This window comes from Homo sapiens, chromosome 22 (genome assembly GCF_000001405.40).
Source record: "Homo sapiens chromosome 22, GRCh38.p14 Primary Assembly".
Classification (NCBI taxonomy): Eukaryota; Metazoa; Chordata; class Mammalia; order Primates; family Hominidae; genus Homo; species Homo sapiens.
Window position 1 is genome coordinate 38,818,333 of NC_000022.11, and position 25,696 is coordinate 38,844,028.

Consider the following 25,696-nt stretch of genomic DNA (forward strand, 5'->3'; position numbering starts at 1 on the left):
CCCTGGGGCTGTCCAGGATCAGGCGTCTCCTCTGCGCTTCCCTGTGGCCCTGTCCAAAGCAGCCCCCTCCTTCCTGCCCAGCACCCCCTAGGGCAGCCCCATCCCTGCAAAGAAGAGCCTCAGAGTAAACAGCATGTTTATTTTGAACATTCAAGTTTACAAAAACAAAAAGGTAACAAAACCATGACACAGATCACACACACATACACACACACACACACGCACACACACGCACACATGTTGCAGCTCATGTCAATTTATGTACAAAACAGGGAGAGGAGAAAGGGGCAAGGCTGGGGAGGGGTTGTCAGTAGGGTGCACTAATGTCACAGTGTCAGACAACTTGACATGCTCACTCACACTCAGCCTGGGCCCATGTGAGCCCCTTCCCCACCCAGGGGTCGGGGGTCAGGGTGGGAGGTGGGGGTCTGGGGTGGCAGGCAGCTGGAATAAAGGGGTGAAGAGAGTAGTCCCTTCTCTGGGAGGGAGCCCCTTTCCAAGTTTACTCAGGCCAAGGGTGCTGGGACACACAAAGGAGGGGGGACTCAGTGCTGGGGAGAGGCTGCTGCGTCCTAGAGAGGGCTGAATGCAGTCAGAAGGCTGGGCTCAAGTCTCCCGTGTCCAGCTGGGTGGCCTTGAGGGTCGCTCCCCTCCCCGGGCTTCAGCTTCCTCATCTGTAAAATGAGGGCTTTGGCCTCTTCTCAGAGCCCTTCCTGTCCAAATCTGTGGTCCCAGGTGATGCAAAGTGGTGGCAAGGGGATTGGTCCCCTTGGGATGTTGGTGGGGGCACCACATGCCACAAGATGGGAAGATCTGGCAGATAACAGCTGGGAAGCAACTGGTGCAGGGCTTGGCCCCAAGCAAGAGTTGGAGAAGCAGCAATTTCCCTCCCCTTCCCTGCCCAGGACTCGGGAGATGCTCAGCTTCCTTTTCTTTTTTGGCTCTCCTGTGAACTCTAGCTGAGCTAAAGAAGGGCTGAAGCTCTGGCCCATGGTGGGAGGGACACATTCCCTGAAGCAGCTGAGCCCCCTGGCACGGCTTCACCAAGGGGACCCTGGCCCTGGGGCTGGCCCACCCCCTGCCTCTGTTCCTTCACTTCAAGCCCTGTGGGCTGGGAAAGGGGTCGGAACACGTCTGGAGCAATGGTGCCCAGATGGCACTCTACACAGGTGAGTGGGAACTCAGCCCCTGGACGTAACCCCCTTTGGTTTGAAATCTGGGCTCCATCACTTGCTAGCTGATTGACACCAGGCAGATGACATCACCTCTCTGTGCCCCAGTTTCCTCACCTGTCTAACGGAGCCAAGAACGTCCTAACTTAGAACTGTGTTGTGAGATCAACAGGACGGTGCCTGTGCCACACTCAGTGCAGTGCCAGATGGCAGGACAAACACGGGCTCCATCGTGGTTATCAGCCAGGAGCAGCTCAGGATGTGACTGGGCCATGTCTGACTCCTCTTTCCCTGTCTGCTTGGATGTGCTCAGGGGCAGCAGAAGATAGGAAAAGCGGGACCCAAACAGTGGTGCTGGGGAAATTTGTTCCTGTTCCCTTTGGAAGGCTGAGTGGGTGATGCAGCACAGGAACAAGGCTTGGACGTCAGAGGTCTCATCTTCACTGTGACAAAGCATAAAGGACTTGGGGTTGAGCGTGTGTGTGGGCTCAAGTGACCATGCAAGTGCTGTCACCTCCTTCCTAAGACCCCATCCTTCTCCCAAGTCCTCCACAAGAGCTACCTTCTTCAAAACAATAACAGAAACACATCAAGCTTGGCGTCACTGAAATTGAAGTTCTGAATTCTGCCGTCACCCCAGCAACAGTGCCAGTATGATGAGACACTTGACCCAGCACTTGGGTTGATGTCTTTGGCTGTTACCGTGGCAACCTAGGTCTCAGCAGGTCTGGCTGAAGCCCGCCATTGCCTTTTCTTCCAGTGGGATTGTACTGGAGGGGCTGGGCAATCTATTTATGTTCTCGAAATGGAAAGCAGGATCTGGGCGCGGGAGGCAATGCAACTTGGAGTAGCTTCCATGGCACTGAGCCCCCCGGCCTGCAGCTCTTGCATCATGTCTCAGGCTAAGTGGCCTCAGGGAGTGGAGATAGGGAACAAAAAGGCAGGCAAAAGGTACAGTGCCCACTTGAGCCAGGGAGCATGCAGCTGCTCAGACACCTGGTAGGTGACTAGCAGGGGAGGGACACCTCAGCTCTCCATTCTGCCGAAGCGCCCAGGGATCATAACCTCCTCCCCGCACTTCCTGGGGTGGGGATGCCAAGATGTTTGGGTGTTGCATAAAGGAAGATGTTCAGGTGTCATGTTGGAAAGCATCTGACCTCGCGGATGTCTACCTGCTTAGGTGTAGACTGAACTCAAAGGTCTTCAGGGGCAGGCAACATGGAGGGGGAAGAACACTGAAGAGGGAGTCAGATGCCCTGAGCTCTAGTCCTGGCTCTGCCCCATGCTCTGTGATCCTGTGCAGGTCACGTGTCCTCCCTGAACTCTTCCCCATTTCTCACAAGCAAGATGCAGCTGTGGTGCCAGATGGGGTGGCTTTTCTCATCTTTAAGATTATTATTATTTTTTTGAGATGGAGTCTTGCTCTGTTGCCCAGGCTGGAGTGCAATGGCGTGATCTCGGCTCACTGCAACCTCCACCTCCTCAGTTCAAGAGATTCTTCTGCCTCGGCCTCCCGAGTAGCTGGGACTACAGGCATGCACCACCTAACCAGCTAAGTTTTGTATTTTTAGTGAAGATGGGGTTTCACCACGTTGGCCAGGCTGACTTCGAACTCCTGACCTCAAGTGATCTGCCTGTCTCAGCCTCCCAAAGTGCTGGGATTACAGGCGTGAGCCACCGTGCCCGGCCTCTCAGCTCTTAAGATTCTGACACTCTCTTGGGGAAGCTGGTGATGACTCAAGGGGACCAGGAAGCCATCAGCCCTTTGAGACACTCTCAGACAGGCAAGGGTGCCAGGCTGGGTTGATCCAAAGGGAGCTGGTTTTTTACAATCCATGCATGAGGTTAGTCTGCCTTGAACCTTGCCCTGGACTCTGAGTCTCTGCTGACCCTAACCCATGACTGGCTGCATCCCATCCACTGCCGAGTCCTGGGATCTACCCCTGCGAAGCCCAGGGTCACCAGAGCTTTCCCCACATATCCACCTGGAATCACAGAGAAGCTCACACCCAATCTGGAGAGCAAATGACCAAAGCGAGGGCCTCAGCTCACGAATGAGGAAGGCCAGGCCCAGAGAGGGCAGGGACTTACAGAAGGCCACACAGCACATTAGCAGGGCTGGCTAGGAACCAAGGTCTTCTCCCTCTCACCCAGTGCTCTGCTCACTGCTTCATGCTTCTCCCCACCCTCTGAGCTTCTTCCTTGCTGCCCCAGGACCATGCACAGGGTAGGTAATGTGGCTCTGCCAGAGGTGGGGTCTCCTGGGCCATGAGGCCTCTACCTTAGGGCTGCTCCCAGCCCAGGCTGAAGCGGTCCAAGTCCTGTCCTTGGCATGGAGGGAGAGCGATGACTATACCAGTGGCCATCACTATGGGTGAGCACAAGGGGTGACTGCAGCCCTTTGGCCTCCTGGGGTCTTTGTCCCCTTCCCTCCAGGCTGGAGCTGGGAAAGGAATGTCCTGGAGACTGAGGTGGGGCTGGGCCAGGCATGGAACCAACATTCAAACCGCTACACACAAAGAGAGGAGGAAAGAGGAGGAAGAGGGAGGCATGGGTGGGGGGGGGGGGAGGCTCCATCGAGATCCCACTGCCCTTGACTGGCAGCTGGTGGAAAGAGGGAGGAGGGTAAGTCTAACCTCTGATGTCCTCGTCATCCCCTTCTACAGCCTGTTGTGGCCCTGAAGGGGAAGCCACTGGGCCTGTTGCATGGGGGACAAGGGGGCGGGCGGCCACCCCCACCACTGAGATAGTGGGGTCCCCCTCATACACAATCCTACCCTACTGGGGGTGCTGTCAAAATTAGTGAAATCAGATACAGTTGATGGGCAGGGAGGGTGGGGTAAGAGACAACTCCAGTGCAGTGCCAGGTGGGCAGGCTCCCACTGTTCACTTGAGACGCTCCTCCCCACTCAGGTGGGGACAGGGGACACACTCGCAGGGCAGGGCATTCTGGAGGTGTGGGTACAGGTGAGGGGAAATGGGAGGCACAGCCAGGAGTGGGGCAGGAGGGAAGGCCAGTGCGTGGGCAGGCTGAGGAGGGAATATGACCCCCCTCAAGTCCCCAAAGTGGCAGGCAAGGGAGGGGCCCTGGATGAGGTGGCCCCTCATGCCTTGGCCCTCCCCTTGCAGACATCGAAGGCAGCCTTTGTTGCACCCCCAAAGGCCTCCACCAACTTGTCTTCCCAGGGAAGGACGTTGCCCAGCAGTGGCGCAGTGCAGTTGGCAATGCCCAGGACCTGGGCTGGTGTCAGGGCGTGGTCCCACAGGTTAAACTGGGCAATGTCACCGACAAAGGCCTGGGTGGCATCAAACCGGCCACCCAGGGTATCCTGGGCCAAGACAGCAGCAGAGAAAGGAGAGGCATGGAGTGAGGGAGCAGAAAAGACAGGCAGGCTGGCTCAGTCAGGCTCTTGTCCCCGAGGCAGCCCCACCTTCAACCCCACTGAAGCCCCACCGCCAACGCTCTAGCCCCACCTTCAAGATTCTAGTTCCTTGGGCAGGTCTCTGATCTCTCTGGCCCTCAGTCTGCCCATCTGCACAATTAGGAGGTCCAGCCCCAATATCAGCCTGAGCCTTACCTGCTCCTGGCCCAAGATAAGGATCCCATGAGGCTTGATGGGGTGCCAGGCAGCCAGGTTCTCACCGGAGCCCTGCAGCTCCCCGTCCTGGTAGGCAGACCATAGGCCATCCCTTGTGGTCCAGGCGATGCAGATGTGGTGCCAGCCATTGTCCTTCAGGCTCAGGGGCAGCTGGGCCACCTGGACACAGGTCCCCCAACCCCAGGTCAGAGGTGCCCCAAGGCCCAAGGCCCATGGCTGAGGCAGTGGGGTGGGGCTGGGGAGACCCATGTCCATCCTTCCAGGGCCCGACCCCAGGCCTGACCCTCTCCATCCTCCTGCCCAGTGTCTTTCCCTGACTCCTGTCTCCTCTTTCCTCAAAGACCAAACCAGATCACAAGGGACTCTCTGGTTTTGGTTTTCAGTTGTCACAAGGTAGTTCACTCACTCTCCAACAGGCCTATTAAGGTCACTTGGGGAGAGAGGGATGTCTCATAATCCCAACTTCCCCTGAACACCTCACACAGCACTCAGCACACAGCTAGGGCTCAAGAAGTACTGGCAGGGATAGAATGAGCCTTGGACTCAGAGGCCAGGCTCCAGCATCTGGCCCTGGCTCTGCCACCAACCCCTGTGTGATCTGGGGAGGCTGCTCCTTCCTCCCTGGGCCTCAGTTTCCTTATCTGTAAAGTGAGGTCAGACAAGGGATGACAAGTCTGCAAGGGATGGCAAATCTTCCTCCACCCAGGGCAGACATAGCCAATCAATCACGAGCCTCGATTTAGCTCAGATCCCTCAGCACAGTGCTCTGGAAAGCCACTGCTGATGGGTTAGAGCTGGCCTGTAAGATGAAAGGTGCTTGCTGTCTGTGGATTTGGTGCTCCCAAAGGGCTTCCTCATCTGGTAAGTTTCCTGAGGTCACATTTTTTTTTTTGAGATGGAATTTCACTATGTTGCCCAGGATAGAGTGCAGTGGTGTGATCTCAGCTCACCACAGCCTCCATCTCCTGGTTCAAGCAATTCTCCTCCCTCAGCCTCCCAAGTAGCTGGGATTACAGGCGTGCACCACCATGCCCAGCTATTTTTTTTTTTTTTTTTTTGTATTTTTAGTAGAAACGGCGGGATTTCACCATATTGGCCAGCCTGGTCTTGAACTCCTGACCTCAGATGATCCACCCACCTCAGCCTCTCAGAGTGCTGGGATTACAGGCAAGAGCCACCTTACCCAGCCTGAGATCACAATTTAATGTAACATTCTCTGAGGCCTACGTGGTGCCTGGCCTTGTTGTGGATCCTGGGGATGTGGAGCTGGTCCACGCCTTAAATGAGCTGAGTCTGCAGGAGGGGAAGGACTTTGGGGCAATGCTATAAGACAAAATAACGGAGGGCATATGGGAGGTACAGAGGCTGCGAGGCCCAGAGGTAGAGGGGATATGGGAACAGAAGCCACGTCAAAACCCGTCTGGAAGGACAATGGATCCACCATTCCATTGCTAGGCAAAACAAGTGGTGGGCACAGAAGGAGTAAAGGCTTAGAGGCTGGAATAAAAAGGGAACAGTGAGCAGTCTGTTAGGCTGGCTCTCAAAAGGACTCTAGAGCGTCCCAGAACAGGGCTGCCCAATGCCCTGTCCAGGGTGCTGAATTCCTTCTAATGAGAACTGAGTGCTGAACTTGGGCCAGGCCAAGGACGGCAGCCAGGGGGTGATGAAGGGCACAAGGCAGCAGGATCTAGATGTAGTCCAGCCACCCCGGTGGTCGTAGGGTTTATTGGGCCACAAGGGAAAGTCACTGGTCCCTGGACTCATCTCCTCCCTCCTCCTCCTCCCCCTCCAGAATGCCATGAAATGCACCTTCTGCTAAGCTGGGTCTGATGGGTATCAATCACTCCTAGTGGCTTTATGTGTTGTGGGCTGGTCACAGGTGGGTACGATATGTGGTATCTGCATTTCCAGGGGGGTCTCAATAGACCACCATGCCTGCAAGGCCCAAAACAATGTGGCAGGTTGGGGAGGAGCTTTAGGAGTGGATGACAGTGATGAGATGCTCCCCTTCCTCTCCCCTCAATTACCATGCTCCTGCCACATCATTCTCCCTGCCTTGTCCTTGTCCTGCCTTCCAGCCAGGCTGAAGGAGGGGCATCGGGGAGGGAGGCCTGGGCATGAGGAAGATGGGTGGCCCAAGGGCAGAACAGGGGAGGGGTTAAAAGGTGGTTTCCGGAGCCCAAGACCCTGAATCACATCACACCCCAGCAGCTGTGTGGCCAGGGTGCATTACTTCCCCTCTCTGAGCCTCAGTTTCTCCATCTGCAAAATGGGGATAATGAGGGTACCTACTTCCCAGTGCTGTTGGGAAGGTCAAGGGTAATAATGTGAGTAAACTGCTTATTAGCACAGTGCCCAGTATAATAAAAATAGCTCACAGTTATTGATGTCTGCTAAACGCTAGGATCTGCTCAAAGCCCTCTACATGCATTTAAGCCACTTCTCACTACAACCCTAAGAGACAAGAGTTCTTATCATTCCTGCTTTAGAGATAAGCAAACTGAGGCACAGGGCAAGTAGAAGACTAGTCTGAGGTCACACAATGGTGAAGATGCAGAACCAAGACTCAAACCAGCATTTGGGTCCCAGAGCCTGAGCACAACACCTTTCTACTCTCCATAGCGGGGAGGGCCCGAGGGGCTGGCTCCAGGGAAGTAGAAGGAACGAGGAGGCCACAAGCACTCCCTTCCTCCCTCCATCCCCAGGTAGGTCTGTGCACCTCCCTTCTCTCTCTCTCTTTTTTTTTTTTTTTTTTTTGACACAGAGTCTTCCTCTGTCGCCCAGGCTGGAGTGCAGTGGTGCGATCTTAGCTCACTGCAAGCTCTGCCTCTCGGGTTCTGGCCATTCTCCTGCCTCAGCCTCCCGAGTAGCTGGGACTACAGGTGCCCACCACCACACCCGGCTAATTTTTTTGTATTTTTAGTAGAGATGGGGTTTCACCATGTTAGCCAGGATGGTCTCAATCTCCTGACCTCGTGATCCGCCCGCCTCGGCCTCCCAAAGTGCTGGGATTACAGGCATGAGCCAGTGCGCCCGGCCACCTCCCTTCTCTTTAAGTCCAGGATGATGAGCAGGGCCCTGGGGGCAGACACCTCAGCCCTGTCCCATAGCTGGGTCACTGGGGAAGTCACTGGATCCCCAAGAGCTTCACTTGCCTCCTCTGTAAAATGGAACAACACTTAGAGCCTCTATTGGACACAGCCTCTCTTCCGGCAGCTCCATGTCTGGCTTGTCTTTATATTCCCAGAGCCCAGCCTAGCACACGGTAGGTACTTAATGTGTGCTGAATATGCAGAGCAGGAGAATGAGCAGGAGAATGAAAGAGCCCAGTGTGGAGTGGGTGCTTCTGGAAGGGTGGCCCTCCCCCAGCCAGCCCTCCCTGCCAGCCCTGCCTACCTTGTCGTTGATCAGCAGCTCCATGGGCTCATGGCCCGCCTCTAGCAGTACAATCTCGTTGGCCTGCCCGGGCACTGAGTAGGAGAAGGGGGTGCCCTGGCCGGTGCCGCTGGACCTGGACCGCAGCCACATGCAGGCGGTGAATGCGTAGAGCTCGGGCAGAGCCTTCCGCACGCGGGCGTACATGTAGTTGTTACGGATGGGGATGCTGATCTTGAAGGCATCTGGAGGACTGTAGGCTGAGGACCCTGAGGGTGGGCAAGGCAGACATGGTGGAGGTCGGTGGACACCGAAAAGGGTGGGGTGGACAGGGCACACTTCAGAAAGATGGCTAACAGCTCCCAGGCACCTGCTGCATGCCCAGTGCCTTCAGGGCTCTCTCTGCTCCACCTCTGTGTTGAGGGGTGTGATTAAAGTGCAGGGGCTCTGGACCTTAGATGTCCTGAGACCAAATCTCGTCTCCCCCACTTCCCAGCCACGTGACCGTCAACAAATTAAACTTGTTGGGAGACCCGGGGTAGACAGGCCAGAGGCAGGGCTGAGGAGGGCTGGAGGTTGCTTCTCCTGTTCCTGTGCTCCACCTAGGATGCTGGCCCTGAGCCACCAGACCTGTCCCTCCCCTGCAGCTGTGCCCCTGCGATGGCCCCTCCATTCTGAAATTTGCTCCTCACCACTGTTTTCAAGAAGTAGCTTGAGGCCTGCCTCCTCCAGGAAGCAGCTTGGATATTCTTTCTTTTCTTTTCTTTTTCTTTTTTTCTTTCTTTTTTTTTTTTTTTTTGAGACGGAGTTTCCCTCTGTTGCCCAGCTCACTGCGACCTTCACCTCCCAGGCTCAAGCAATTCTCCTGCCCCAGCCTCCCGAGTAGCTGGGATTACAGGTATGCACCACCACACCCAGCTAATTTTTGCATTTTTAGTAGAAATGGGGTTTTGCCATGATGGGCAGGCTGGCCTTGAACTCCTGACCTCAGGTGATCCGCCCACCTCAACCTCCCAAAGTGTCGGGATAACAGGCATGAGCCACCATGCCTGGGCCTGGATTTTCTTCTCCTGAACCCCTGTTCCCCATGTAAGCTGGTCCCAGCTAACTGCTCACCATTTCTCCTGTTCTCCCCAACTTGTCTGTAAGCCTCTTAAGGGTGGTCTTCACAAGAATTGAAAGCTGAAAGGTCTTTGAGAGCTCATGAGTCCTAAACCCCTATTTCTCAGATGAGGAAAACTGAGGCCTGGGGAAGGAAGTGAACTTCTGAGGTCACAGAGCAAGCCAGAGACAGATATGCAACCAGGAGCCAGGTCTCCTTATGCTTATACCTGTACCCTGCCCATTATGTTCCTTTGACCCCTTGGCAGTGCCAGGCACAAGTGTTAAACAAAATCCTGACCAAGTCATTGAAAATGCTATTTTGTGGGTGGTTAAATGTATGGTTGTGGAGTCAGACCTTGTTTGAGGTCCAGACCCGCCACTTTTGTCTGTGTGACCTTGAGCATGTCACTTGACTTCTCTGAGCTTCGGTCTTCTCATCTGTGAAAACTGTGGATTAAATCAGCTGATGTATCAAGTACTTAGCCCACTCCCAGGACACAGTAAGTGCCAGAAAATGAGATCTGTTAATAATGTTGATAATGATAACAATATCCCCCAATGATTCTCTCCACTGTGTGTTCCACAGCCTCCTCCCCACCCTCCAGTCTGTCGATGTTAGCCTCCGGGGAGCATGGATATATTTTTTGAATGGCTCTGTCATCCTGAGGACCCCTCCAATGCCCTCTGCAGGACCCAGGACCCACCGTGCTCCAGCTCAGCCACACGACCCTGCAGGACGTCCAACTCCTTTTCCACTTCCTGCCTCTGCCGGCGGCTGCTGTGGCTGAGGGCCACACGCTCCTTCTCCAGTGCCAGCACCTGGGCCAGCAGCTGCCCCTCCAGCTGGTCCATCTTGGAGTGTAGGCCGGTGGGCACAGCAGAGACTGGGGCTGGGGCAGCTGAGAGGTTCACACGGGCTGGAAGCTCCTGCTGTTCACAGGGCAGAGAAACAGAAATCAACTGAGGGGAGGAAGGACAGGCTGGGAACACTCAGATGCCTACCGCCCCTGCTCAGTGACCCCAGGGGAGCCTCAGCTTCCCCAGTATGCAAAATGGGAATGACAATGGCCAACATCAGGCAACAGATGCATCCTGGGTCCCTGGCAGGCTCTGTTCCTGGTGCTGGCACATGACGGCGAGCAGCAGGCAGAGCTGGCCCCGGCCCTCAAGGACAGCTCAGGCTGTGGTGGGGGTGTGGGGCGTGGCCATGAGTGCTGTGAAGGTCCCCCAGGTGGTTTCAGGGTGCAGCTGGGGCTGAACGCCCCACCCTAGTCCTTCATAGCAGCAAGGCTAGACACTGATAGGCTGGTAAAGGGGCGGACCATCTTAGTCTTCATTCCCTCACTCAGCAAGCTTCTCTAGAACGGTCCTTGGCAAAAGGCTCTGTATGGCCACTGGGCCCACTCAGGGCGTGAAACAGGGACTTCTGGAGCAGGGCCCCGGTGGCTTGACCATACCAGGGTGACAGGTGGTTGAAATCACATACTTTGGAGTCAGACAGCCCAGGGTTCAAAACCAGCTCGGTAACCAATCTGCTATGTGACTCTGAGAAAATATCCTGACTTCTCTGAACTTGTTTACTCAAAAGAGAGCTGCACCTATTTGGAGAGTTGTGGGGAGGACTAAGGATTAAATATCAATAAACAGAGCCTGCTTATTGCAATTGCTGTCTAGGGCAGGGTGTTCCAGGGTAGGCTCTGACATCCCCCATCCAGCCCGGGATGAGGTCTAAGTGTTCAGAGTTCCCCATGACATGCCTGTCTTATCTTAAGACCCCAAGGGCAGCAGAACTGGGGCAGGAGCTGGGAGGGTTTCCTTCCCCTTCTCCTGCTGGAAGAAGGCCCCTCTGGGGTGGAGGAACGCAGGTGAGGCCGCAGGTCCAGACTCTTCAAGGGGACAGTCTGTGGCAGACATGTCACAGAAATGTCAGTAGGAGATTAATAATTCAATGAGCTGCTAGGAGCTAAATTAAACCTTCACCATCCTCCACCATCCTCCTGGATTCCCCCTCCTCCATGGTCCCCGCTACCAGGCCTGATGCTTGCGAACTCCCCAGGGGCCTGGGAAGTTTTTGCTCAGTCAGTTCCTTGCTCCCAGGCTTAGGCCCCAGACACGAACTCATTGCATTCTGTGATTCAGTCACTGAGCAAACATTCAGAGGGCACCCCCATTGTGCTGGGCACTGCCCCAGATGCTGAAGTTGTGGCTGGAGGCAAAACAGAAAACCAAGAACCCCACCTTTCCTCAGTTTCCTAAGCTGCGAGGGGATGGCCTTGCAGCCTGGGACAAGTATAGAATCCCCTGTCCAGCCTCACTGGCCCAGCCAATGGCCTTGTCAGTCATTTGCTGGGTGACACTGGACACTGCTGGTGGCTGCTGTGACTGAGGGCCGCGTGTTCCTTCTGAGCTGTGCACTCCTCCTTAACTTCTCTGAGCCTGTTTTCTAGCCATGGGACAAGGGGAGAAGTGCGTCCCCTGCATCAGAGTGCTGGGGGCAAAGGACCACTGCCATGCTCAGTGCCCGAGACTTGGGAGCTGCCAGTGTGGACAGCAATGTGACCTCATTTTGAGGAGTTGCAGGAACCGGCCCTCGGCTCTGCCACTGCCCCGTGAGAGTAGGGACAGGTGGGCTGACACTCCGAGATCATTTTTCCCCTTCTATAAGATGGAGACACGGAATGCTCAGCCTCCAGGGCTGGCCAGCATTAAATGATGGCGTGTAAGGGAAGTGCCCAGAGCCTGGCCCACAGTGGGTGCCGGGGGCATGGTTTTGGGTGCATGGGGTAGGTGGGAAGACTGAATGGGACGCTCTTGCTGCCGGCTGAGCCTTAGCAGACACCTTGCAAACATTCCCTCTCTGAATCCACTTAACATGCCAGTGTCCCCATTTCAGGGGCAGGAAAACTAGGGTGAGTTAACTAAGATCACACCAGGAGCAGGAGCAGAGCTGGGATCTGAGCCTAGCAGTCTGGCTCGCCCGCCCCCTCTGCATCACTCGCCACGCAGCCTCTCTTGGCATCTGCCAAGCGGCCTCTCCAGAAGCCCTATTCCCTCTCTGTCCCACCTGTCCCTTGGCTCCCATGGGAAAGGTGAGGTTGCTTCACAGGGCAGGGGGTCTGGTGCCACTCACACTCAGCAACCCCCCTCTTCTGCTGGCAGTGGGAGGGGCTGAGGATCAACCTCTCCATTCCAGGCTGTAAGATGGGGCAACAGACACAAGTCACTGTGGTCGTCCAGGCTGGCTCTGGAAAGGGACCCATGAAAGCAGCGGGAGAGGGGGGACTCTGGCCACCATTATCCACCCCCCCCACCTCTTGTGTAAGAGGTCACGGCCTCCCAGCCACGCAGATGCCTACTTGGCCCACGAGGATGGGGTGGAGGCCAGGTGAAGGTGGGCATGGGATGGGCGAGGAGCCTTACAGTGCACTCCCCGCTTACATTCATCTTTGCTTTCCCGAGGGCTCCTTCTGTCAAGGTGCCTATAAACCCTGACTCTGGTGCAGACTAACCACAAAGCCTTGGTTTCCCCTCCTCTAAAACGGGAACAGGCTGGGCATGGTGGCTCATGTGTGTAATCCCAGCACTTTGGGAGGCCAAGACAGGCGCTTGAGCCCTGGAGTTCGAGACCAGCCTGGGCAACATGGCGAAACCCCATCTCTACAAGAAATACAAAGATTAGCCAGGCATGGTGGTGCATGCCTGTGGCCCCAGCCACTTGGGTGGCTGAGGCAGGAGGATTGCTTAAGCCCAGGAGGTTGAGGCTGCGGTGAGTCATGATCATACCACTGCACTCCAGCCTGAGCAACAGAGCGAGACAAAAAAAAGTGTGTGTGGGGTGAAACAGACTTCCTCTTGTTCATTCCCAGGACAGATGGAAGGATGGGAGGACAAGTGACAGGCCCTCATGGACTATAAAAGCATAATGCCAACTGTGGGGCTTGACTACATTAGCTGATGGGGCGCTCATTACCTCCAGAGCCTTCAGGTGACACTGGATGGCCCACAGGGTGACAGGGTCAGCCACCCACTGCATTCGAGATGGCTGGACTTCCAGGAAGCCTTGGACTGAGGCAATCAGCTCAAGGGGCGCATTTCATCTCAGGGCTGGAAGGGCGGGCTGGGGCAGGGTGTCCCTGGTCCCAGGTACTGTTCTGTCCTCAGTTCTCCACCCGCTCTGTGCCAAGCTTGAGGCCAGAGGGGCATGCGGGAGTGAGGCTGTGCACCGGGCCCATCATAGGCACTTGGCATGTGTTTACTCATGAATCCTCGCAGCTGCTCGCTGAGGCTGGCACTCTTCGTATCCCCATTTCACAGATGGGAAACCAAGGCAGGAGTCGTTTTGAATTGTCTATAGCAATGGGGCTGGGCCAAACCGATACCCCTGGAGCCAGCATCTCCTCTCTCCAGCAAAGGGAGAGAGGGAGGAAGACTTGCCAGGAAGAACAGAGGGAGGAAGATCTGCCAGCAAGAACAGGGAGTCGAGGCTATTTAAACAGACGCTGTTTGGAGGAGAAAACGTGCGGGCTGAGGGGGTGTGCGCTCAAGCTGTTCTTTTGTCAGAGCCACTGGCTCTGCAGCGGCCAGGAAGGCCATGGAGGAGGTGGGCTCGCCGGATCGTGTGTGAGTCCCTCCCCGTCCCAGTGTCTGAATCAGAAGAACACGACTCCCGCACCCCCACTTCCCATCTGCTGTGGGCGCAGGCTGTGCCGCGTGGGCTCCCGGCCCGATGCCAACTGGGCCCCTCACCTAAGATGATGGAGGGAATGATGACGCCAGCACCCCCACTCAGCTCCTGCTGGGGCAGAAAGGTGGAGGCTGGGAACCCATGGCCTGTCCCGCTGGGAGTCCGGGGTGGGGTTTGGCGTAAGTGTGCTGGGCCTAGAGCCAGAGCCCCTTGTTCTAGGCCTGGCTCAGCCATAATGTGCTGGGCTCATTAGCACTCAATCAGAATGCTAACGGCAGCAGCTGTCTCCATCGAGCACTCGCTGCATGCCAGGCCCCGCACTAGGGAAGATCTGTGCAAACAGTTCTAGGCTGCTCTCAACAGCCTGGGGAAGTAGGGAGGCCCACTCAGAGATGAGGGAACTGAGGCTCAGTGCCTGTCTAAGGTCACATACCTGTGACGCTGCAGAGCCAGCACTCCAGCCTGGCCTTCCTGATCCTGAAATCTGTGCTCATTCCTCAGGCTCACACTGATGGTCTGGGTCTGTTGGTTGATCTGCCAAGTGGGCACAGTGCTGGTTGCCCTGCCTAACTCGAAGGCAAGCAGGAGAGGTACTAATGGCCACGGGAAGTCTAGAAGATCCAGAAGGTTGTGTGAGACTATGGCGCAGGGCAGCTTCACAAAGGGAGACTGATAGGAGGGTCCTGCCAGCGTGGGGTGGCTGAGGCTGGGAGGATGCAGGGAAACCCCATCACCTTAGCCCCACCCGGGGTCTATTCCCTTGCTGCAGGGAGCAGAAGGCAGGTGCAGGACTCCAGGGCCAGAGTCCCATCCTCTGCACAGCCCACAGACTGTGCTCATTCCTCAGGCCTACACTGCTGGTCTGGGTCTGTTGAGGGTCAGGGTCCCACCCTCTGCACCACTGCCCCTGCCCAGGATCACCCAGGTAGTGGTACTCCCAGCTGGCAGTGAGGCAGAGGCTGTTCTGGGACGGCCAGACCACCAGGTTTTGCAACGGTGGGAGTTTGGGGTCAGAAAGCTTTCTCAGAGAAACCCCATCCTGCCACCCCACCTCCCTCACCAGGGGCAGACTGCAGGGGCACCAGGACCAGGTGGAAAGTGAGCAGCCTTCAGGGGGAGCAGTGTGGACCACGGCCCCTCACCTCCCCCATCCAACCATCCCCTGAGTTCTGAGTCCTGCTAGGGCTCACACCTGGGCTTCACCAGCTGAGTGGCCTTGTTATGTAACGGTGCCATGCCTCAGTTTCCCCATTGGCCCCAAAGGGTAAAAGAGTAAATCTCATAGCATCGTGGTGAGGATTGACTGAGTTCATAGACAGAAAGCGCTTAGTGCGCGGTAGGCATAGGAAGCATCACAGGCGTGTCTACTATTAATGTCGTGACTAACAATTTTTTTTTTTTTTTTGCGATGGAGTTTCTTTTTTTTTTGAGACAGAGTCTCGCTGTTGCCCAGGCTGGAGTGCAGTGGCACGATCTCGGCTCACTGCAGGCTCCGCCCCCCTGGGGTTCACGCCATTCTCCTGCCTCAGCCTCCCGAGTAGCTGGGACTACAGGCGCCTGCCACCTCACCCAGCTAATTTTTTGTATTTTTAGTAGAGATGGGGTTTCACTGTGTTAGCCAGGATGGTCTCCATCTCCTGACCTTGTGATGGGGATCAGCTGATTGGAAACGTTTGGTTCTTGAGCCTGGGCAGGGGCCTGGGTAGTAGTATTTATGCCTTTTTGCCCATCTGAAATACTTGACATGATTTTCTTTTAAAAACAGGAAAACAATCCTAAAGTGGCATCTCTAGTGGTTGAATCTAACCCTGCTTCTTACCCAGAGCTTCATGAAGTGGTGTCTCTAATGCTTGAATCTAAACCTGCGTCTCGCCCAGAGCTTCACTCAGCTCCTAGCCTTCTCCCTAGTCCTGGCTACTCTCCGCTGGACTGTGCCACAGCTTCCACTCCCACCCTCCACACAGCGGCCAGAGGCAAATCCAGCCATGTTGCTCTCCTGCTTAAAATCCTTCCACAGCCCCGTCTCCCTGCCAATAAAGTCCCTGTCCTCCTGGCTTCAGCCCTTACCCCGACAGGACATAGGTCACGCCCACTGAAAGTCCTCTGCTGCTCAACTGCCCCAAACTCCTTCTCACCCTAAGGCCTCCACACATGCTGTTCCTTCTCCAAGAACATTCTTCCCGCCCCCACCCCTCCTCTGCCCATTGCCTGCTCATCCTCCAGATGGCAGCTTCCCTGATGCCTGAACTGAGATGCTCTATAGAGAGAGAAGAGGGCCCTGAGAGCTTCTCTGGCAGGGCTGCAGAGCACTCATCCATCCATCCATCCATCCATCATCCATCCATCCATCCATCCATCCATCCATCCATCCATGTGTGCCGCAGCAACATGGCGTCGTAGTTGCAGACACGAACTGTCACGTTAGACAGGCCAGCGTCATTTTCAGTTCCTTGCTTACTAGATCTGCGACCTTGGGCAAGCTGCTTAACTCCTCTGGCCCTCAGTTACCTTATCTGTAAAATGGGTGTAATAATAGTACCTACATTTGGGGATATAAATAATGATAAAATGAAAGAACAGATATGAAGTGTGGTCAACCATAAGAGGCAGTACGTGGTTGTCACATTACTATTATTCTTTGCTGTTATTGAGAGGCAGGAGAGCATAATGTGTCATGGTGCAGGCCCTGGAGCCAGACTGCCTGGGTGGAAATGCCAGCTGAGTGAGCTGGACAAGCTTCTGAAACTTTCTGAGCCTCAGTTTCCTCATCTGTAAAACAGAGATAGTAATAGTACCATAGTTCTTGTGGGATTCAATTGTAAGGCCCTTGACAGGCCTGGTGCAGAGGGTGAGCTCACCCCTGCTGCCTCTTGCCAAGTGCCAGGTGCTGTGGCCCCAAAGGCAAATATGGCCCCATGGTTCCGCAGGTGGCGGTGCTCCCAGCTGGCGGTGCTCCCAGCTGGCGGTGAGGCAGAGGCTGTTCTGGGATGGCCAGGCCACCAGCTCTTGCCAAGGTGGAAGTTTGGGGTCAGGAAGCCTTCTCAGAGAAACCCCATACTGCCACCCTGCCTTCCTCTCCAGGGACAGACCCAGCAGGTGGCTCCGCCTCCTCCTACCCAGGTGGGGAACAGGTGAGTGGTGGGCAAAGGACAGGTTGGTTTTGATCATCCTGGTCTCCTAGTACCACTTTGGAGCTGAAGGAAAGAAGACAAATGGGGAGGAGGATGAGGAAGAGGGAGCAGGGATGGGGTTGGCCATGTACCTCCTGGGTCCGAGACCCCAGACCGTGTCTAAAGACCCCTCTGGCCCCAGGCCCCTTGCTCCTCCCTTCAAAAGTCCCTCCTGTCAGGCTGCTGCTTCCAGAAGCCCAGCTGGGAGTTCTGCTGAGGTCCTGCCTGCCCACACACCTTCCGGGCCCCCAAAATCCTCAGCAGATGGAGGTCCCCCACCCCTAGCCCACTTCAGTGAGAAATCCTGGCTTGGTCTTGACTCAGCCTCTGTGGCTGTGGGCAGGTCCCTCAGCCTCTCTGAGCCTCAGCTTCCCCTGGAGTGAAACAAGGGCTGTGGAAGCACATAAGTGCTCCCACCTTGGGTTGGTTGCTTCTATCCCTGTCCCCAGAGTTCCACGGGGATGATGTGCCCAAGACTGTCCTGGGGAGACGCCCCCCCGCCGCCCCGGCACCCCACCTTCTTCACTCTGTGAGGAGCACCGACCTCTGAGTTCATTCCACCTCCTACAGGCAAAGATTTACAAAATGGCCAATAAACATAAGAAAAGGTGCTCAACGTCATGAATCATCAGAGCAATACAAATTAAAACCACAGTGAGTGCACTACACGCCCACCGAAACGGGAATGTTTTTAAAATGACCATACCGAGTTTGGCGAGGTTTACACGCGGGCGGGCTTGTAAACTCTCTCAGCTACTGTGGGGAAATGTTTGGCTGTACCTTCCGACGCTAAATATATGCCCCTCTTGCAACCCACTCCTGTGGCTCGATCCAGGGAGAAATGAGGGCTGACAGCCGCCAACAGATATCCCAAGAATGTTTACAGCAGCCTTATTTGTAAATCAGAAACAACCCACAGATCCATCCACAGAAGAACGGGTAAATGAATTAAGGCTCGTCCGCGCAACGGAACACCACACGGCAATGAAAACGGCAATCCTCCGTGGGTACACGCAATAAGCCTGGATGCCACAGACGTGACATTGAATGAAAGATCACCAGACGCAAGGGTGCACAGCTGTCTGCGTCCATTTGTACGAAGTCCAAACACAGGCAAAACTGACTACGGTGACAGGAGCCAGAATAGCCGTTGCCTTTGGAAGGCTACTGTCTTTGGGGGCACCAGGGAGCCTTCTGGGGGTGCTGGAAGTGTTCCAATTCCTGATCTGGCTGGCGCTTTCACAGGGGTATCCATCCACAAATTTTCATCGAGCTGTCCACTTACGATTTGTGTCTGTTTAAGTGAGATCTGTGACCTCTTCCGTATCTTGAATGTAATATAAACCTCAAAACAAACAAGTCACACAGGCTTTTTTATTTTATTTATTTATTTTTTGAGATGGAGTCTTGCTCTGTCGCCCAGGCTGTAGTGCAGTGGTGCAATCTCAGCTCACTGCAACCTCAGCCTCCCAGGTTCAAGCGATTCTCCTGCCTCAGCCTCCCGAGTAGCTGGGACTATAGGTGCCCGCCACCATGCCCGGCTAATTTTTTGTATTTTTAGTAGAGATGAGGTTTCACCGTGTTAGCCAGGATGATCTTGATCTCCTGACCTCGTGATACGCCCACCTCAGCTTCCCAAAGTGCTGGGATTACAGGCGTGAGCCACCGCGCCCAGCCCCCACAGGCTTTCAAATCTCCATTTCAGACAGGAAACTGAGGCTGAGAAAGTTAAGCACCTTGCCTGAGGTCACAGAACTCTCAAGTGACAGAGCTGGAATTTGCACCCAGGTGATCTGGCCCTGGAGTCTGTACCAGGAACATGTTCCACACTGCAGCTTTCTCAGGGCTGGAGGGGGCACTGTGGGGGAGGGAGGACACTGTGGGTCCACATCCTCCAACCAAAGCCCAATAGCAGAAGCCCTCTCTCCACATTCCACAGCCCCCCGCCATTCCCTTCTCCCAAGCCCTCCTCACTGCCAAACAGGCAGGGTCAGGGGAACCAGTGCCCACTAGGCAGAAGCTTCTAGAATGGGCAGCAAAGTCAGAGAAAAACAAAGACAACCAACGGAATTTAGAGAAGACACCAAGAGATCCTCGAAGCTGCTGTTTATCTGCAGATTTCCCAGAGAAACATAGTTCTGGGAGTGGGTGGAAGGGGCTCGAGGGCGGTACACACATGTACCCCCATAAACACACCTACACCCCACACAATCCCTATTTAGAAGCCTTCTGCCCAAGAACTCAGAATGTAGAGCCTAAGGGGACTGGGACTTAGCTCCTCCTCCCGCCTGTTTTACAGATAAGAAAACCAAGGCACCAAGAGGGAAAGTGATTAGTCTAAAGTCACAAGCAAGAACCCAAGCCTGTGCCTCCCAGCCTTTCTATTTCAGAGACTTATTTATTTTTATTTTTTATTTTATTTTATTTTATTTTATTTGAGACAGAGTTTCGCTCTGTTGCCCAGGCTGGAGTGCAGTGGCATAATCTTGGCTCACTGCAACCTCTGCCTCCTGGGTTCAAGTGACTCTTCTGCCTCAGCTTCCCAAGCAGCTGGGACCACAGGCACATGCCACCATACTTGGCTAATTTTTGTATTTTTAAGTAGAGACAGGGTTTTGCCATGTTGGCCAGGCTGGTCCTGAACTCCTGACCTCAAGTGATCTGCTGGCCTTGGCCTCCCAAAGTGCTGGGATTACAGGTGTGAGCCACCGCTCCTGACCTATTTCAGAGACTTTTTAGAGCTGGAAGCATGTTTCGGGCGTATCTGGCCTGCTATATCATTCTTTGTATGGAGGGGAAAACTGAAGCTGGTGGGGGGCGGGGCAGGGATTTGCCTGGGTCTGTGTCCTTCACTGTCTCTGAGCTTCTATTTGCTCATCTGTAAGATGGGAATGCGTTCAGCCTCTATCATAGGACTGAAGACTGAATAAGCTAATATGTATCTAGTAAGTGTCTAATAAGTGTTAGTTATTATCAGCAGCAGCAGCAGCAGTGAAGGTCTTGCAGCAAGTCTCTCGGCTATCTAGCCGGTCAGCAGGACAAGCCTTGAGGACTGGCCTTCACCCCTCTCACTCTGGGCTCCGAGGCAGAAATGGTCCAGGACAGTGACTAGCACAGGCACCGCCCTCACCTGGCTATTTTTTTTTTTTTTTTTTTTTTTTTTGAGATGGAGTCTCGCTCTGTCGCCCAGGCTGGAGTGCAGTGGCAAGATCTCGGCTCACTGCAAGCTCCGCGTCCCGGGTTCACGTCATTCTCCTGCCTCAGCCTCCTGAGTAGCTGGGACTACAGGTGCCCGCCACCATGCCTGGCTAATTTTTTGCATTTTTAGTAGAGACGGGGTTTCACCGTGTTAGCCAGGATGGTCTCGATCTCCTGACCTCATAATCTGCCCACCTTGGCCTCCCAAAGTGCTGGGATTACAGGTGTGAGCCACCGCGCCCAGCTCACCTGTCTTTTCCATGCTCCCAAAGGTGGGTGACGTCTGACCCCTCCAGATGGGTCTAGAGTTGATGATGAAGAACGAGGGCTCTACAGCCAGACAGTGGGCTCCACTGCTGCCTTGGGGCCAGTTCCTTAACCTCTCTGAACCTTGGTTTCTTTGTACCTCCCTCACAGAGATTTTACAAGGATTAAATAAGATAATGCACTGTGCCTGCCGCATAGTAAGTGCTCAGTAAGTGTTCGCTATAATGGTTATTTGGCTCCCACTCCAGGATGGGAGGAGGCAATCAGCTTGCTGGGCTGGGTTAAGGATGTGGTTTATGCCAAAGAAATGCTGTTGAAATTAATCTTGAAGTTCCGTTGTATACATACATTAAATTAGCACAAAAATGGAACAGGGGAACACACATGCATGGCCTGTAGCCGCATCATTGGGCCAACTCTTGGAAAGTGGCTCCTGGCCTCAGCCATAAAAAGTCAATATTGGCCAGGCACAGTGGCTCACGCCTGTAATCCCAGCACTTTGGGAGGCTGAGGTGGGCGGATCACCTGAGGTCAGGAGTTTGAGACCAGCCTGACCAACAAGGTAAAACCCCATCTCTATTTAAAAAACAAGAATTAGCTGGGCGTGGTGGCACATGCCTGTAGTCCCAGCTACTCAGGAGGCTGAGGCAGGAGAATCGCTTGAACCTAGAAGGCGGAGGTTGCAATGAGCCAAGATTGCGCCACTGCACTCCAGCCTGGGCGACAGAGCTAGACTTTGTCTCAAAAAGAAAAAAAAAAAAAGTCAATATCCTCTGACCCAGTACCCAGTAATACCACTCCTGGGAATTCAGCCTAAAAAAATCAACAGACTTAAAAACAAACAAACAAACAGCTCTCTGTATGAAATGGATCCTGCAATGAACATCTGGAAGAAAAATAATTAGAAACAACCTACATCTCCAGTAACAGGAGCCAGTCAAGTGACTGATGGATGGGGAGCTGCAGATGAATCCCAGGATATTATGGCATCATTAAAATGGTAATTACACAGCAGCTCTCAAACAATGGCTGCATATGGATAAGGACTGAAAGAGGGTTGCAAAAAGGGAGAAAATGACGCAATTGAATGCAGCATTTTCCCCAAAACCTTTTGATTTATTTCAATGAACAACAATAACAACACAAATAAAAATGGAAAAGAAGACACTTTCCCCTAAGCCCTTAAATGTGGCTCCCACTTGAGGCTTTGGGGAGAGGACAGGCCAATCAGACCTTCCCTTCCCTTTTGTAGGAGGGGTGGTGATGCAGGGATGTGCCTGGTGGGGACCAGCAGGGAAGTGTGATGATTATGGAAGCCCAGGTGGGGATAGGAAGGGGACAGAGTGTGAACAGGGATGGCTCCTGAGAGGAGGTGTACTTGGAGCAGACTCTAAGATGTGGAGCAGGAATGTGCTGGGGGTGATCCAGGCAGAGGCAGGAATGAACTGAGAGAGGGGTCAGGAGCGGGGGCCAGATCCAAAGTGGTAGCCTAGGAGCAGGCCGAGGAGTTAGGAGAGCCCCATGGTGGGCTTAAGGAAGACCCTTGGGGCTGCCTGGAGGAGGATGGAGGGAAGGGTGTGCCTGGAGTCATGAGACCAGAGAGGAGGCTGCTGCAAGCGTGTACAGAGATGAGGCCAATCAGAACTGGGGGGAGAGGGAGGGGCCAAGGATGGTTTCTCAGGGCACATGGAGGTACCTGGTTCAAGCTGAAACACAGTGTGGTTAGGGGGCTGATGGGACAACCAGAGAGAGATGCTCAGGAGGCCGATGTGTTGATGGGTCTGGAGCTTGGGAAGGAAACCTGGGCTGGACACTGAGTTTGGTTTGGGGCCCCTCCGTGGAATGGGTGTGGGAAGCCTCAGGGCATGGCTGAGTGTACCCAGGGAAAGTGAGGGCCAAGACGGGCACATGCCTTAAAGGAGGAGGACCCTGCAAGGAGACAGAGGCAGCAGACAGAGGGAGGAGGAGGGCTGCTGTGAGAGGCGGCTGGAAGCCCAGGGCATGGAGACCTGCAAGAGGGGATGATCAGCAGGGTCAGGTGTCAGAGAGGGTTCCCCCAAGATAAGGACTGAGAAGTCCTCATTTATCATCTTGGGGACATTAGCAAGAGCACCTTCAGTGTATCCTGGGAGGGAAAGGAGACCCTGAAAATCTGGGCACTTTGAGGATACTGAATGAGAAGAGAGGGGAGAGATTGGACAGTGGCTAACGGGTGCATGGGACTCCGCTGAGCCAAGTGGTCTCACCCTGTGTCTGCTGTGCTCCAGCTCCAGCCCCAGCCCCTCCCAGAGGCCCCCAAAAGACTAGCTGTGGCTGTTGCCACGCTCAGAAAGCAGACCTGGTGGCCAAGCAGGGCCCCGCCCTTCTCTGTCTGTGGCTGCTGCACTCAGAAAAGAGGAAAAGGTATACATGGGGAAGCCAGGGCTCCCCCAGCCTGGAAGGCTGACCTGTTGCCAAATTCCAGCTGCCAGGATCCCCCCAACCTCAGCGGGCTAACCGGAAGGGAGGCCACCCTGCCAAATGCTGCAGGTGCTGGGGGCACAGGTCCAAGGCAGGTCCAAGCCTGCCAGCCCCAGACGTGGGAGGAGCCACCTGTGCCATCTGGGCGTGGGGGCAGGGGCTATGGCAGGCACGAGGAAGTTTATTCAATGAAAGTCAAAAATTGTTTTTTACATGACTAAAACCTGTTGCCTAAAACCTGTTTGTTCCTATTTTGAGTTTTGGCTGTATTTTAAAAATGAGTAATATTATAGCTTAATGATAAAAATAGCCATCACTCAAATTGACTGAACATACCTGTGTGCCAGGCACTATTCTTGGCCTTTCATATAAAGTACTTAATCCTCCTAATATCCCAGTGAGGTAGGTGCTATTACTATCCCCATTTTACAGGCGAGAAAACTAAGACTTCCCTTCATTGCATACTTTCACCTTTTTCCTGATTATTTTCCTGCTCTTGGTTCTCTCATCCTAGAAATCCCCCAGAGCTGGAGTCGGGGAAGAGGTGGGTATGGGCCCGGCTTTTCTCCTGCCTCTGCCACCTCTCTTAGGACGTTTCTGAGCTGAGTTTTCTCATCCGTAAGGTGAGGGGTTGGCTGCAATGGCTGACTGGCTGCACTCTGACACCCTGTGGGGAGGGTGCTGACACCAGTACAGACGTCCTGGAGGGCTGTCAGACCACGACATCCTCAGCCTTGTGAGTGGGCATCACCAGTGCTGCTTGCCCAGGATTTAACTTAAAAAGCCCCGGGAGTAAGGGGTCCCTGCATTTACTCCCCGCCTCTCTCCTCCCTCCAACTTGCCTGCTGCACTCCACCTGGGTGGAGGTAGCAGAGGGGGCAGCGCGGGCTTTGGCCTCTTTCTCTCTCTTCCTTCCACAGATCTGATTTTGTTGCTTAACCCCCTTCCTTGTGGTCTGGAAGTCAGGCCATGGCTGGGGTAGTGAATGTGTCCCGGATGTTTGTCCTGCCCAGTCTGTCTGCCTTGCACTTCTGGGAGCCCCAAATTCATTCTTACAGGGAGGAAGGTGGCCATGGGACTCCAGGGGGGAAATGACTGGCCCAGGGTCACATGAGAGCCAAGAGTGGGTTCCCCCATGCTGGACCCCTTGTGTCTGACCCCAAGCCTGAGTCAGGAAAGCCTGGAAAAGTGAGTGGAGGAGGAGGAGCTCGGGGGGCCCTGTTCTCCATTCAGCCCCCACCCAAGAGCTGTGGGCTTCCAGGTGTGTGAGGCTGGGCGCCTGGCACCTGAGCTCCTGCGGTTTGGGTCATAGTCTGAGCCAGAGTGGGAGATTCAGGGTAGGGAGGTGGTGAGGGGCACCCAGGTTTGTCTTATAGGGCACTCTGTTCCCGGCTCTGTGTAATGAGGGGAGGACCCCAAGTCCTTTGGACAGCGCATCCATCTCCTGGCCATAAAGTGTGAGCGTGGAGCTGGGCTGATTTGGGGGTGTCCGGAAGAAGGAAATGAAAGGGACATTTAATGAGGTCCTAGTACGTGCCAAGCATTTTCACACACCTACATTTGATTCAATTTCCACTACAAGTGGACACTGTTATACCTATTTTACAGACACAGAAACTGAGGCTCAGAGAGGTGCCTGGAGACGGAAAAGGGTGGGGAGCGAATCTTTCTGGCGCGCCCTCTGTGCCTCAGTCACCGTGCCAGACGCCTGCCCGCGTTCCCTATCGAAATCCCCCCGCCTCGCCAGCGAGGAAGGCGCGATCGTCCCCGGAACACAGACGGGAGACCGGAGGCTCGGGGACCGCCGGACGACCGCGGCCGGGCGGCCCCTCACACCACCCGGGCGGCTCCCCCGACGGCGCGCGGCGCTCACCTCCAGGCGGTCGATGCGGTCCCGCAGGGCGCGCACGGCGTCCTCCAGCTCCAGAATGAGCGCAGGCGAGTCCCAGGGCCCGTCGGCCATGGTGTCGCGGCGGGGCCCGGCGCCCTGGAGGCCGCGCGGCAGGCCGCTCTCGCAGCGGCCCAGCTTGCCGGTGAGCTCACGGATGGTGTCCTGGTCGGCGCGGATGCGCGCCTCCTGCTGCAGCGCCGTCTGGCGCAGCTGCTCGGCCGTGCTCTGCAGCAGCAGCAGCTCTTCGCGCTCGCCCGGCGCAGCGCCCGCCGCGTCCCCCTGCTGGGCCCCCGACGGGCAGGCAGCAGCCAGCGGCGTGCACAGGAAGCGGCTGAACAGGGGCCCGGGCGGCAGCGGGTGCGCGCTGGCCGCGGGTGCCCCGGGCAGCGCGGGGGGCCCGGCTGAACCGCCCGCGCCGTGCAGCGCGCTCAGGCTCCGCTGCGGGCCCGGGGACGCGGCGGCGCCCGAGGCGACCGAAGCATTGTCGGCGCCGCCGGGCAGCGCCCGCGCCGGGCTGGCCGCCAGGGGCACGCTGGCGATGATGCAGATGACGGCACCGAGGAACGCCAGCATGCCCGCGGCCAGCAGCACGGCCAGGAACTTCAGCGTGAGGCGGGCGGCGGGGGCGCCCGAGGCCCCCGGCAGGCGCGGCGGCGGGGTCGGGGCGCGGAGCCCGGGCGCGCTGGGCCGAGCGGGGCAGGCGCGGGAGCCGGAGCCGGAGCCGGAGCCGGAGCCGGAGCTGGAGCTGTCGCCGCGGCCGCTGCTGCCGCCGCTCT

At 55.5% G+C, this 25,696-nt stretch overlaps 1 protein-coding gene across 1 annotated transcript, besides 1 other annotated feature; it reads right to left on the reverse strand.

The window, feature by feature from the left end:
* Nucleotides 1-119: 119 nt before the first annotated feature.
* Nucleotides 120-25,696, reverse strand: NPTXR (neuronal pentraxin receptor). Its single transcript, NM_014293.4, has 5 exons — nt 24,903-25,696; nt 9,955-10,180; nt 8,168-8,415; nt 4,751-4,930; nt 120-4,501 (listed from the first exon to the last, which is right to left on the reverse strand). Exons 1-5 carry the CDS (start codon nt 25,524-25,526, stop codon nt 4,277-4,279), a joined length of 1,503 nt encoding a protein of 500 aa, NP_055108.2. The 5' UTR covers nt 25,527-25,696; the 3' UTR covers nt 120-4,276.
* Nucleotides 25,215-25,284: a silencer, noted in NCBI's record as "silent region_13733". NCBI's record gives its function as "represses an Ori minimal core promoter by ATAC-STARR-seq in GM12878 lymphoblastoid cells {active_cell/tissue: GM12878}" and the evidence as "EXISTENCE:reporter gene assay evidence [ECO:0000049][PMID:35858748]".